The sequence below is a fragment of the Homo sapiens genome, chromosome 1 (genome assembly GCF_000001405.40).
Source record: "Homo sapiens chromosome 1, GRCh38.p14 Primary Assembly".
Taxonomy (NCBI): Eukaryota; Metazoa; Chordata; class Mammalia; order Primates; family Hominidae; genus Homo; species Homo sapiens.
Genome location: NC_000001.11, coordinates 1,892,858 through 1,905,471, shown reverse-complemented (window position 1 = coordinate 1,905,471; position 12,614 = coordinate 1,892,858). Strand labels below are relative to the sequence as shown.

Here is a 12,614-nt window from a genome sequence, read left to right as displayed (position 1 = left end):
GAGGTAGAAGCTGCACTGAGCCGTGATGGTGCCATTGCACCCCAGCCTGAGTGACAGAGTGAGACCCTGTCTCAAAAAATAAAAATAAAGGCCGGATGCAGTGGCTTCTGCCTATAATAGCAGCGCTTTGGGAGGCTGAGACGGGTAGATCACCTGAGGTCAGGAGTTTGAGACCAGCTTGGCCAACATGGCGAAACCCCATCTCTACTAAAAATAAAAATTATGCGCATGTGGTGGTGCACACCTGTAATCCCAACTATTCGGGAGGCTGGGACAGGAGAATTGCTTGAACCTGGGAGGCGGAGGTTGCAGTGAGCTAGTATCATGTCACTGCACTCCAACCTGGGCAACAAAGCAAGACTCTGTCTCAAAAAAATCAAAAAAAGTTACCATATTACCCAGCAACTCTGGTCCTAGGTATATGTCCCAAAGAATTTAAAACAGATGTTCAAACAAAAGAATGTGTGTGGCCAAGCACAGTGGCTCACGCCTGCAATCCCAGCATTTTGGGACGCTGAGGGGGGGCAGATCACCTGAGGTCAGGAGTTCAAGACCAGCCTGGCCAACATGGTGAAACCCCATCTCTACTAAAAGTGCAAAAATTAGCCAGGCATGGTGGGCACGCCTGTATTCCCAACTACTCAGGAGGCTGAGGCAGGAGAATCGCTTGAACCCGGAAGGCGGAGGTTGCAGTGAGCCAATATCACACCACTGCACTCCAGCCTGGGCGATGGAGTGAGACTCTGTCTTGGGAAAAAAAGGAATGTGTATAACAGCATTGTTTATAATAGCTAAAGGACCACCCTGGGCAATAGGATGGGACCCCATCTCTACAAAAAAAATTTGTTTTAATTAGCCAGGCATGGTGGCAGGCACCTCTATTCCCAGCTACTTGGGAGGCCAAGGCAGGAGGATCACTTGAGCCAAGGAGGTTGAGGCTGCAGCAAGCCATGATTGCATCACTGCACTCCAACCCCACCACAGAGCGAGACCCTGTCTCTAATTATTTATTTATTTTATATTATTTATTTATTTATTTATTTATTTTGAGACCGGGTTTCATTCTTGTTGCCCAGGCTGGAGTGTAATGGCGCGGTCTCAGCTCACTGCAACTTCTGCCTCCTAGGTTCAAGTGATTCTGTTGTGTCAGCCTCCTAAGTAGCTGGGATTATAGGTGTGTGCCACCATGCGTGGCTAATTTTTTGTGTTTGTAGCTCTGTCGTCAGGCTGCAGTGCAGTGGCGCAGTCTCAGCTCACTGTAACCTCCGCCTCCCAGGTTTGAGTGATTCTCCTGCCTCAGCCTCCCGAGTAGCTGGGATTACAGGCGCGTGCCACCATGCCCGGCTAATATTTGTATTTTCAGTAGAGGCAGGGTTCTGCCATGTTGGCCAGGCTGGTCTTGAATTCCTGACTTCAGGGGATCTGTCCGCCTCGGCCTCCCAAAGTGCTGGGATTACAGGCGTGAGTCACCGCACCTGGCCCCCATTTTTGTATTTTTAGTAGAGGCAGGGTTTCGCCATGTTGGCCAGGCTGGTCTCAAACTCCTGACCTCAGGTGATCCACCCGCCTCGGCCTCCCAAAGTGCTGGGATTACAACTATTGAGCCCCTGTGCTTGGCCTCTGTCTCTATTTAAGAAAAAAAAAAAAAAAAGCCGGTCAGGCACAGTGGCTCACACCTGTAATCCCAGCACTTTGGGAGGCTGAGGCAGGCAGATCACAAGGTCAGGAGATCAAGACCATCCTGGCTAACACGGTGAAACCCTGTCTCTACTAAGAAATACAAAAAAATTAGCCAGGCATGATGGCGGGCGCCTGTAGTCCCAGCTACTCAGGAGGCTGAGGCAGGAGAATGGCGTGAACCCGGGAGGCGAAGCTTGCAGTGAACCAAGATCGCGCCACTGCACTCCAGGCTGGGCGACAGCGCGAGACTCTGGCTCAAAAAAAAAAAAAAAAAAAAAGCCAAAAGGTGGAAACAACCCAAATATCCATTCATGAATGTATGGGTAAAATGTGGTATATCCATAAAGTGGAATATTATTCAGCCGTAAAGAGGAAGGAAGTACGGAGACATGCTGTGATGCAGATGAACCTGGAGACCTATGCTTGGTGGAAGAAGCCAGACATGAAGGGTCACAGGCTGTGTGTTCCACTGGCAGGAGGCATCTACGACAGCCAGATTCACAAAAGAAGGTGGAACCGAGGTTACCAGGACCAGGGGGGTGGAGGAGGGTGGTGTGGCTGTTTAATGGGCATGGGGTTTTCTTGGAGGCAGTGAAGTGTTCTGATGCAGGGGTGCTGACGGCTACGCAGCACTGGGAATGTGCTAAATGCCACACATTGTACACTCGAAAATGGTTACAGCACACCCGGTGCAGTGGCGTGCACCTGTAGTCGGAGCTGCTAGGGAGGCCCAGGAGTTTGAGTCCAGCATGGGCAACGTAGTGAGATCCCCCATACCAAGAAAAGAAAAAAAATAGGCCGAGCATGGTGGCTCACGCCTGTAATCCCAGCACTTTGGGAGGCCAAGGCGGGCGGATCACAAGGTCAAGAGATTGAGACCATCCTGGCCAACATGGTGAAACCCCATCTCTATTAAAAGCATAAAAATTAGCTGGGTATGGTGGCAGGCGCCTGTAGTCCCAGCTACTTGGGAGGCTGAGGCAGAAGAATCGCTTGAACCCGGGAGGCAGAGGTTGCAGTGAGCCGAGATCACGCCATTGCACTCCAGCCTGGGCGACAGAGCAAGACGCCATCTCAAAAAAATAAAAATTTAAAAATAAATAAATAAAAATAAAAAATAGTTAAAATGATAAATTTTATGTGTATTTTATCACTTTTTTTTTTTTTTGAGACAGAGTCTCGCTCTGTCGCCCAAGCTAGAGTGCAGTGGCGTGATCTCAGCTCACTGCAAGCTCCGTCTCCCGGGTTCACGCCATTCTCCTGCCTCAGCCTCCCAAGCAGCTGGGACTACAGGTGCCCGCCACCATGCCCGGCTAATTTTTTTGTATTTTTAGTAGAGACAGGGTTTCACCGTGTTAGGCAGGATGGTCTCGATCTCCTGACCTTGTGATCTGGCCGCCTCGGCCTTCCAAAGTGCTGGGATTACAGGCGTGAGCCACCGCCCCCAGGCTTTACCACTTTTTTTTTTTTTTTACAGTAGCTCATGAGGCAGAACCCAACAAAGGGGAGCCAGCAAGTCACCAAGGGCGTGGGGCGTGTGGAGGAAGTCCCTTGTGGAGACCTCTGGGCCCTGAGCTGGGTGGGGGGTGGGGACAGCAGGTGGGACCCTGGCACCCAGAGAGAAAGATAGAGTCCCTGACCTCTTCACAGGGCGGGGCAGTGTGGTGGGGTCTTCTGTTGGAGAGGACGGCCCCCCGAGGCACTGTTGTGACCCGTGCAGCCCGGTGTGGCGTGGCGAAGAGCTCCGCCCAGTGAGCAGCTGCACTGTGGGAGTGCAGCTCCAGCCTGGGAGGACCCCTGGCCCTTCCCCTCTAGGTGCCTCTCTATCCTGAGAGAGCCTTGACCAGGTCCCCTGCTTCCAGGGAAGGCTACTCATGGCCACCCACTGCTGGAAAGGGCCCTGCTGGCATCTGCCTGTCAGTGACCTCCAGCTGCTTCTTTGGGACAGAAGGGCAGCTCCAGGGCAGGCAGGTTGGACTCTGGGTCCATCTCTGGGCTGCCCCTTACCTGGCAGGGCCCAAGAGGGCAGTGGGCAGGGGGCTCGGGAAGGCTCTGCCCTCCGCAGCCCCTTAGCTGGGCACCTCTAGGGGCCTCGCAGTCAGGAAAACCTTGGTGGCTGGACCAGCCACCCACCAGCTGAGGCCACAGGTGCGAACTGTTTCCCCGACAGGTGTAGGAGGAGCCCCGTCCGGGGTGCCGCCCCTGGGAAGATGAATCTCCTGAGCTGCCTGAGCTTCTTCCTCAAGCAGGGCCCTGGCAGGGGAGGCGAAGGGAGCTGGAGGCCAGGGCTGGTCCAGCCACCCCCGCATTCCCTGGACCCCTGGGTTCCCACCCAGTCACCTCTGCTCTCACTCTGGGCACTGGAATGGGGTGGGAGCCTCCGTCATCCTGCACTGGCCAGTGTGGCCCAGCTGTGCTGTCTCCCCACTCTCCAGCCTCAGGGACCCCACCCCAAGCACATCTAGGCAGGCGGGTGACACCTCAGGCCAGGAAGCTTGGCCAGGCCTGGGAGGAGGATGTTGAGGGACCGAGAAAGAGTCTTTCTTTCTTTCTTTCTCTCTTTCTTTCTTTTCTTTCTTTCTTTCCTTTCTTTCCTTTCTTTCCTTTCTTCCTTTCTTCCTTTCTTCCTTTCTTCCTTTCTTTCTTTCCTTCTTTCCTTCTTTCCTTCTTTCCTTCTTTCTTTCTTGAGACAGGATCTGGCTCTGTCATCCAGGCTGGAGTGCAGTGGCTCAACCACAGCTCACTGCAGCCTCGTCAACTTCCCAGGCTCAAGCGATCCTCCCACCTCAGCCTCCTGAGTAGCTAGGACTACAGGCACATGCCACCATGCCCAGGTAATTTTTATTTTTTTTGCGGGGCATGCTAGCTCACACCTATAATCCCAGCACTTTGGGAGGCCGAGGTGGGTGGATTACTTGAGGTCAGGAGTTTGAGACCAGCTTGGCCAATGTGGTGAAACCCCGTCTCTACTAAAAATACAAACATTTGGCCAGGCGTGGTGGCTCATGCCTGTACTCCCAGGACTTTGGGAGGCCGAGGCAGGCGGATCACGAGGTCAGGAGATCGAGACCATCCTGGCTAACATGGTGAAACCTTGTCTCTACTAAAAATACAAAAAATTAGCCGGCCTGGTGGCGGGCGCCTGTAATCTCAGCTACTCGGAAGGCTGAGGCAGGAGAATGGCGTGAACCCGGGAGGCGGAGCTTGCAGTGAGCTGAGATCACGCCACTGCACTCCAGGCTGGGCGACAGAGCGAGACTCCGTCTCAAAAAATAAATAAATAAAAATAAAAATACAAAAATTAGCCAGGCATAGTGGCGCGTGCCTGTAGTACCAGCTACTCAGGAGGCTGCGGCAGGAGAATCGCTTGAACCTGGGAGGTGAAGGTTGCAATGAGCTGAGATCGCGCCACTGCACTCCAGCCTGGGCAACAAGAGTGAAACTCAGTCTCAAAAAAAAAAATGTATTTTTTCATGTTTTGTAGAGATGGAGTTTCACTATATTGCCCAGGCCGGTTTCAAACTCCTGGGCTCAAGCGATCTGCCTGCCTCTGTCTCCCAAGGTACTGGGATAACAGGTGTGAGCCACCGCGCCCCCAGAAGGGATCTTGAGGGTTCAGAGCCCCAAGGCCCAGCTGGGGTGGCTGCCTCCGAGACAGTCCTTCTCACCCCCCAGGCCCTGCCCACTGAGCTCCCTCTCTCAGACCCCCACTTTCTGGGCACTGAGGGTCTTGCGTCCCCGTTTCGGTCTGCTCATGTCTCCGGTGCCTACCTAGGCCACCTTGCTCTCTTGTCTGTGTGGAGGTGTTGGGGGGTGGGTGTGGGCCGCTCTGACTGTCCGTCTCTCTGGGTCACTGTGCCAGCTTCTCCCTTCGTCTCACCAGGATGTGTGCAGGGCATTGTGCCAGCCACACTCTCAGCCTGAGGATGCTGGTGGCCTGTGGGAGGCCGAGGGGGCCCCAGAGAACAGCTGTAGCCTTCCTGCCAAGGGGCCACCCAGCCATGGCAGGAAATGGGGCTGGGGGCTGGGTGGTTGGGAGCTCCAACTGTCCCTGCAGAGGACTTGCAGATGGTGGCGTGGGGCTCCCACGATGACCCCACCCCAGAAGATGCCCTGCAGCACGCCATGGGGGCAGGGGGAGAGCAGAGGCCTGAGCCTGCTCCACCCCCGTGGGCTCTGTCCGCAGCCTCCGGGTTCAGGCTGGGTCAGGCCAAGGGTGAGGCAGCCTGACCTCAGCGAGGGGCAGCCAGCCATCCTTCGTCCTTGACCTCACCATGGGTGAAACCAACCATCCGATGTCCTTGACCTCACCAACCAACAGAGGCTTTGGGTATAAGTAGCCTAGCTGTTGCTCAGCTGCTAGTTTTTAGCCACGAGGTAGGTGGGGACACCTATGCATTTTCCCCATGCCCAGCAGCCTCTGCTCCCCCTGGCGACAGCCCTGCCTTTGTGTTGAGAGCCACTAACTACCGTTGGAGCCACACAAAATCTGAGTGAAGCCTTTCAGAGTCCTCCTGGGGTCAACATCCGGATAGCCGTCTTCTGAGCAGTCTGACTGCTGAGGTGGGGGTGACGGGGCAGTGGGGCTCTACCCAGCAGAGAAAGGAGGAGGCGCCACATGGGGACACAGAGCCATGGGTGGGTGGGCCGGGGGAGAGCCCGACGGGCTCATCTGGATCCAGATAGGCTTGAGGCTCAGCTGTCTGCTCATGACTCCTATTCACTGAGCCAGTCAGTTACCTCTTTTCATGCAAGCTGGCTTAAGCTTCTACTGCTTGCTACAGTGACTCCTGACTGACCCAGCTTGCATGTGTGTGCACATGTGTGTATACCAAGCTCATGTGTGTGCACATGCCCATATACTAGCTGGTGTGCATGCAAATGTGTGTATACCCAGCCCCTGTGTGTTTGCACATATGCATATATACCCAGTTTGAGTGTGTGCACGTGTGTATACCCAGTTTGGGTGTACATGCATACCCAGCTCATGTGTGTGCATACATGCATGTATACCCAGCTTGAATGTGTCTGTACACATGCATATATACCATCTGCTGTGCATGTACATGTGAGTGTACCGTTTGGGTATGCATGTACATGTGTGTATATCCAACTTATGTGTGTATATCCAACTTATGTGTGTGCATATCCAACTTATGTGTGTGCACATCCAACTCATGTGTGTGCACATGCACATTTACCAGCTCCAGTGTGTTTGCACACATGCATGCATACCATCTGCTGTGCATATACATGCATGTATACCCAGTTTGCGTGTGTTCACATGCCCAATCCATGTGTGCATGTACATGTGGGTATACCCAGCCCTTGTGTGTACACGTGCATGTACACCAGCTGATGAGCATGTACATGCATGTATACCCAGCTCATGTGTGCATGCACATGTGTACATACCCACGCTGGGTGTGCATGTACATGCATGTATATCCAGCTCGTGTTTGTCCACATGCATGTATACCTAGCTTGGGTGTGTGTATACACCCAGCTCATGTACATACATGTGTGTATATCCAGCTTGTGTGTGCACATGTGTATATACACAGCTTATGTGTGTTTGTTCACATGCACATATACCCAGCTTGGGTGTGCATGCACATGTGCATATCACCAGCTCCCATGTACGCACATGCATATATACTCAGATTGTGAATGTATGTGCACATGCACACGTACCTGTCTGTGCACGGCTTCTGGGTCTACAGGCAGGGGACGATGCTCTTTCCATTCATGGTTTTGCATCTTTCACTGTTAGGGAGGTTTGTGGGGTTTTTGTTTGTTTTTGAGAGAAGGTCTCACTCTGTCACCCAGGTTTGAGTGCAGTGGCGCGATGATGGCTCACTGCAGCCTCAACCTCCCCTGCCCAAGCGATCCTCCCACCTCAGCTTCCTGAGTAGCGGGTACCTGAGGCACGAGACATCATGCCTGGCTAATTTTTTTATATTTAGCAGAGATGGGGTCTCACTCACTATGTTAGTCTCAAACTCCTGGTCTGAAGTAATGCTCCAGCCTCAGCCTCCTAAAGAGCTGGAATTGTAGGCGTGAACCATGGCACCCAGCCAAGAGGTGTTTTTTGTTGTTTTTTTTTTTTGAGACGGAGTTTCACTCTTGTTGCCCAGGCTGGAGTGCAATAGCGCAATGTCAGCTCACCGCAACCTCTGCCTCCCGGGTTCAAGCGATTCTCCTGCCTCAGCCTCTCGAGTAGCTGGGATTACAGGCATGCACCACCACGCCCAGCTAATTTTGTATTTTTAGTAGAGACGGGGTTTCTCCATGTTAATCAGGCTGGTCTCAAACTCTCCACCTCAGATGATCCGCCCACCTTGGCCTCCCAGAGTGCTGAGACTGCAGCTGTGAACCACCGCGCCTGGCCAAGGTTTGTATTTTAAACCAAAGGTCTGTCACTCCTTGAATGGGGGATGACATTGAAATGCTCCTTGGCCAGGCACGGTGAGTCATGCCTGTAATCTCGGCACTTTGGGAGGCTGGTGGCGGCGGGGGGGTTGGATCACAAGGTCAGGAGTTCGAGAATAGTCTGACCAACAGGTGAAACTCCATCTCTACTAAAAAAAAAAAAAAAAAAGCCGGGCATGGTGGCTCATGCCTGTAATCCCAGCACTTTGGGAGGCTGAGGTGGGCAGATCATGAGGTCAGGAGATCGAGACCATCCTGGCTAACATGGTGAAACCCTGTCTCTACTAAAAATAAAAAAAATTAGCCGGGCATGGTGGCGGGCGACTGTAGTCCCAGCTACTCAGGAGGCTGAGGCAGGAGAATAGCGTGAACCCGGGAGGCGGGGCTTGCAGTGAGCTGAGATCGCGCCACTGCACTCCAGTCTGGGTGACACAGCAACACTCCGTCTCAAAAAAACAAAAAACAAAAAGCGAAAATTAGCTGAGTGTGGTGGCAGGTGCCTGTAATTCCAGCTACTCAGGAGGCTGAGGCAGGAGAATCGGTTGAACCAGGAGGCAGAGGTTGCAGTGAGCTGAGATTGCGCCACTGCATTCCAGCCTGGGCAACGCAGCGAGACTCCATCTCAAAAAAAAAAAAAAAAAAGAAAGAAAGAAAGAAAAGCCCCGCGTTGGCTGGGTGCTGTGGCTAACACCTGTAATCCTAGCACTCTGGGAGGCCGAGGTGTGCAGATCATGAGGTCAGGAGTTTGAGACCAGCCTGGCCAACACGGTGAAACCCCGTCTCTACTAAAAATACAAAAATTAGCCAGGCATGGTGGTGCGCCCCTGTAGTCCCAGCTCCTCAGGAGGCTGAGGCAGGAGAATTGCTTGAACTCGGGAGGCAGAGGTTGCAGTGAGCCGAGATCGTGCCACTGCACTCCAGCCTGGGCAACGGAGTGAGACTCTGTCTCAAAAAAAAAAAAAAGCCCTTCCTTTAGGTTCATCTGTGGTACTTAGGGCCACTGGACATAGTCAGGATTTCTATCTCTGTGCATGCAGTTTTGGGATTCTACAGTGAGGCCAGATGAGCCTGTGATAAAGGACTCTAAGGAAGAAGGTGGATTCTTCCATTGGCCTGCAAGGGAGGCAGGGGCTGGGTGTTGTCAGGTCTTTACTGGAGCTGGTGGTCTAAGCTACGCACCTCCCTCTGCGAGTGTCAGCCCACCTGGGTCTGCTCACCAGAGTGACAAGAGGCCACGTGAGTTTTCTCTGGGGATTCTGGTCCAACTCTAGCAGGGAGAGGAAACATGCCCCCACAATGCATCTGCTCACTTACACCATCACCTCCTCCACCCCCCAGCAGACACCGATTCCCCACTGTGTGTGCACATGTGTACATACCCAGCTCATGTGTGTTTGTGCACATGCATGTGTGTACCCAGCTTGGGTGTGCAAGCACGGGTGTGCCCAAGAAGGATGTGCAATTCATGATTCATGACCACGGGTTGGTGGCCAGGAGGGTCGGGGGTGAGAAGCATGGTGGGGAGCTTCGGAACAAGGGATGAGTCCTGGTGGGGGACAGAGGCCAACTCCCCGCACCTGCAAGACGGGGTCCAGGGGGCCACAGTCAGCCTCCTCTCAGAGGCCCCCAAGGCCCGGCATTCGCTCTGCCTGCCACACCAGCCTCCTGGGCCATGATGTCTGTGACCTTGTAGGGCAGTGACCCTCCCAGCTCTGCCAGCCACTCATTCACCAGCCACAGCAGCCTGCCCTCACTTTGTGCCTGGCTCTGCTGCGGTGACACCTCCTCACTGGCCGCTCCCCATGAAGCTGGGAACCAGGCCCCTACTCAACCCCCTGAGCAGAGCTGCCCTGCTTTGGCCTCAGGGCCAGAGCCTGGTGCTAAACCCACCCTGGCACCCAGTGGGCCTCAGCAGGTGTGTGCTGAGGGTTGGAGAGGTGCCATGGTCCCATTCCTCCACCAGCCCCTTCCTTTGAAAGCTGCAGGAGCTAATTAGGGCTTTCTTCTTGATCACCTACATTCTGCACCCCCTGGGCACCATCACGATGCTCTCCTCTCTCCCTCCCTCCTTATTCTCTGTCCTTTGGGGCCTGGATCTCACTGCAAGTGAAGACGACAGCAGAGGGCCGTGTGGTGGAGAACCTCACAGTGCTGGTAGGAGGAGGACAGACGCCCTGCAGGAGCCCAGAGCCCAGGGAAAGACAAAGGGACCTCTCCTGCCAGAGCTGGAAATCTAGAAACGTCCCCTGCAGCTCTGAGACCCTTCAAAGCCTGGCTGGAGCGCGGCGCCCAGGGCGCGCACAGAGATGGAGCTGTGGGTCCTGTCACATGCACAGATTGAATAATTCGGATTTAAAAGACCTACTTTCACATTAGACCATTTCCTGCTGAGAAGCAGGTGGGGGTGGGGCATCTGAATTGTATCTCCCGCTCCCGTGGGGTTTTAGAGAAGGCCTGGTGTGGAGCCAGTATCGGTGCAGCCGCCTCCACCCCAGGGCCCAGCTCAGTCTTGCCCGGGGTTGGGCACAGCTGACCGGGTATGGCTCTGGACTCAGGGACCCAGAGCTGACCGGGTGTGGCTCTGGACTCAGGGACACAGGCTGATCTCTGAGATCCTTGCAGAGAAGGGAGTGTTACTGGGAAGCGTTTGCTCTGCCAGGGAGAGGGCGGGGTGGTAGGTGAGGGCCAAAAGATACAAGAGGCCTGGGCTGAAGGGAATGGAGGCGGGGCAGGGAGGGCAGGTCTGAGGCCGGCTCTAGACCCCCCTGGGCCACCAAGGGCTCTGAGTGTCTCTTATCTCCAGGGATGGGCCCTGGCTGGAGGTGAGAAGCACCTTTGGATTCACATCGTCCTCAGGGCAGAGGTCTCTGCCTCCCAGGGACTGTGTACTTCAGAGGGCAGCCCCAGGCTGCAGTGAAGACCTGGGAGTAAGCACCCGGGGCCCCTGCTCCTTCCCTCCCTCCTTCCTCTCAACTTTGCCCTCCATAAACCATCAAATAGGATTTCTGCCTGGGCCATGGGGCAAGTTCCAGGGACAGCCCTGCCTTACCTAGAGGACCTACAGATAAGCTGGAGGTGCTGGGGCTGCACCCTGCCCCTTGGATATGGCCAGGGCGGGCACTGGCCTGGGGTCCTCCTGTGTGGCCTTCCTTCATGGCCCTGGCTGTACTGAGATGGGCTGACCAGGCTGATGGTGGCCTGTGGGACAAGAGAGCCCTGGGGTACAGCCCTGCCACTGCCCAGTCTGGCCCGCAGTGTGGTGCCCACTCCTCTTGAGGCTCCTCCATGGCCCTGGGCCAGGCTTGCAGGGACCTTCTGGGGCCTCTCCCATCCCACAGCTGCTGGAAGGTCTCTGGTGACAAACGGCCACTGCCCACTTTGGGCTTCCCTGCTGCTGCCTCAGCCTCCTCTCCCTGCTACTCATTTCCACTTTTAATTCAGGTGGTCATTGAAGGCTGGCATTAGGCCTGCCAGATTCTGAGGGCCACCTCTGACCCCTCACCTGCCAACGTGCAGAACACTGTCCCCCGACTCTGCATCGTCCCTCAGCCCTGGATGTGCCCCATGCTCCACCCTGCCCCTCGAGTGTCCGAGCAGAGAAGCCTTCCTGCGGAAACCCGGCTCTCCTGAAGTCCAACCACTCAGGTTCCTCGCACCCTGCCCTTGTTCTGGCCCAGGTGATGGTTCTGTCCCTCCTGATCCCTTGCTCTGGGCACTGGTCCCTGTGCTGGGTTGCATCTTCCTCACTCAGAACTCAGAGCCTATCAGCCACACCAGCTGTTCTCCGATGACCCCGTGTGCCTGGTGCCACGCTGGGCTGGTGGAGCAGCGGTTAAGAGTGGGCTTCACAGTGCTCACACTGCAACAGGGGGAGGGCCCGGAGCAGGCAGAGAGGCACCTGGGAGGGATGGTTAGGGCTGGGGAGACATCTCCATGGACGTGACACCCGCAAAGGCCTGAACTACACGAGGTTATGGGGAGACCGTCCCAGGCAGATGGAGCCACTGGGCCAAAGCCTGGAGGATGGAATTCGGTGGTGTCGGGGAGCATCAGGAGCCAGTGTCTTGATAGTGGGGAGGGGAGGAGGGGCCTGGACACTGGGGAGAGGGCGGGTGATGGGAACTGTCAATGGTTTCAGGCACAGGAGTGATATGATTGACAATTCAGGCTGTGTCCGCAGTGGCTCCTGCCTGTGATCTCAGCACTTTGGGAGGCTGAGGTGGGAGGATCGCTGGAGCCCAGGAGTTTGAGACCAGCCTGGGCAACACAGGGAGACCCCCATCTCAAAAAGAAAGAAAGAAAGAAAAAAAAACCCAAAATAAATAAATAAAATAAAAATTAAAAAAATTTCACTGGGAATTCACTCCTTGCTCAACTGTGCTAGGCAGGCAGGCGCCCCTGTGGGGGCGGGGCCTCGGTGGTCCAGCGGAGGTCAGAGGCCACGCAGGGTGAGGAGCGGGTAGCATATGGTGGGGTGGAAGCAAGGATGAGAGACTGGTTAC

General features: G+C 54.9%; 2 annotated features.

Annotated features, from left to right (window-relative positions):
- Nucleotides 5,976-6,065: a silencer, noted in NCBI's record as "silent region_97". NCBI's record gives its function as "represses an Ori minimal core promoter by ATAC-STARR-seq in GM12878 lymphoblastoid cells {active_cell/tissue: GM12878}" and the evidence as "EXISTENCE:reporter gene assay evidence [ECO:0000049][PMID:35858748]".
- Nucleotides 6,136-6,185: a silencer, noted in NCBI's record as "silent region_96". NCBI's record gives its function as "represses an Ori minimal core promoter by ATAC-STARR-seq in GM12878 lymphoblastoid cells {active_cell/tissue: GM12878}" and the evidence as "EXISTENCE:reporter gene assay evidence [ECO:0000049][PMID:35858748]".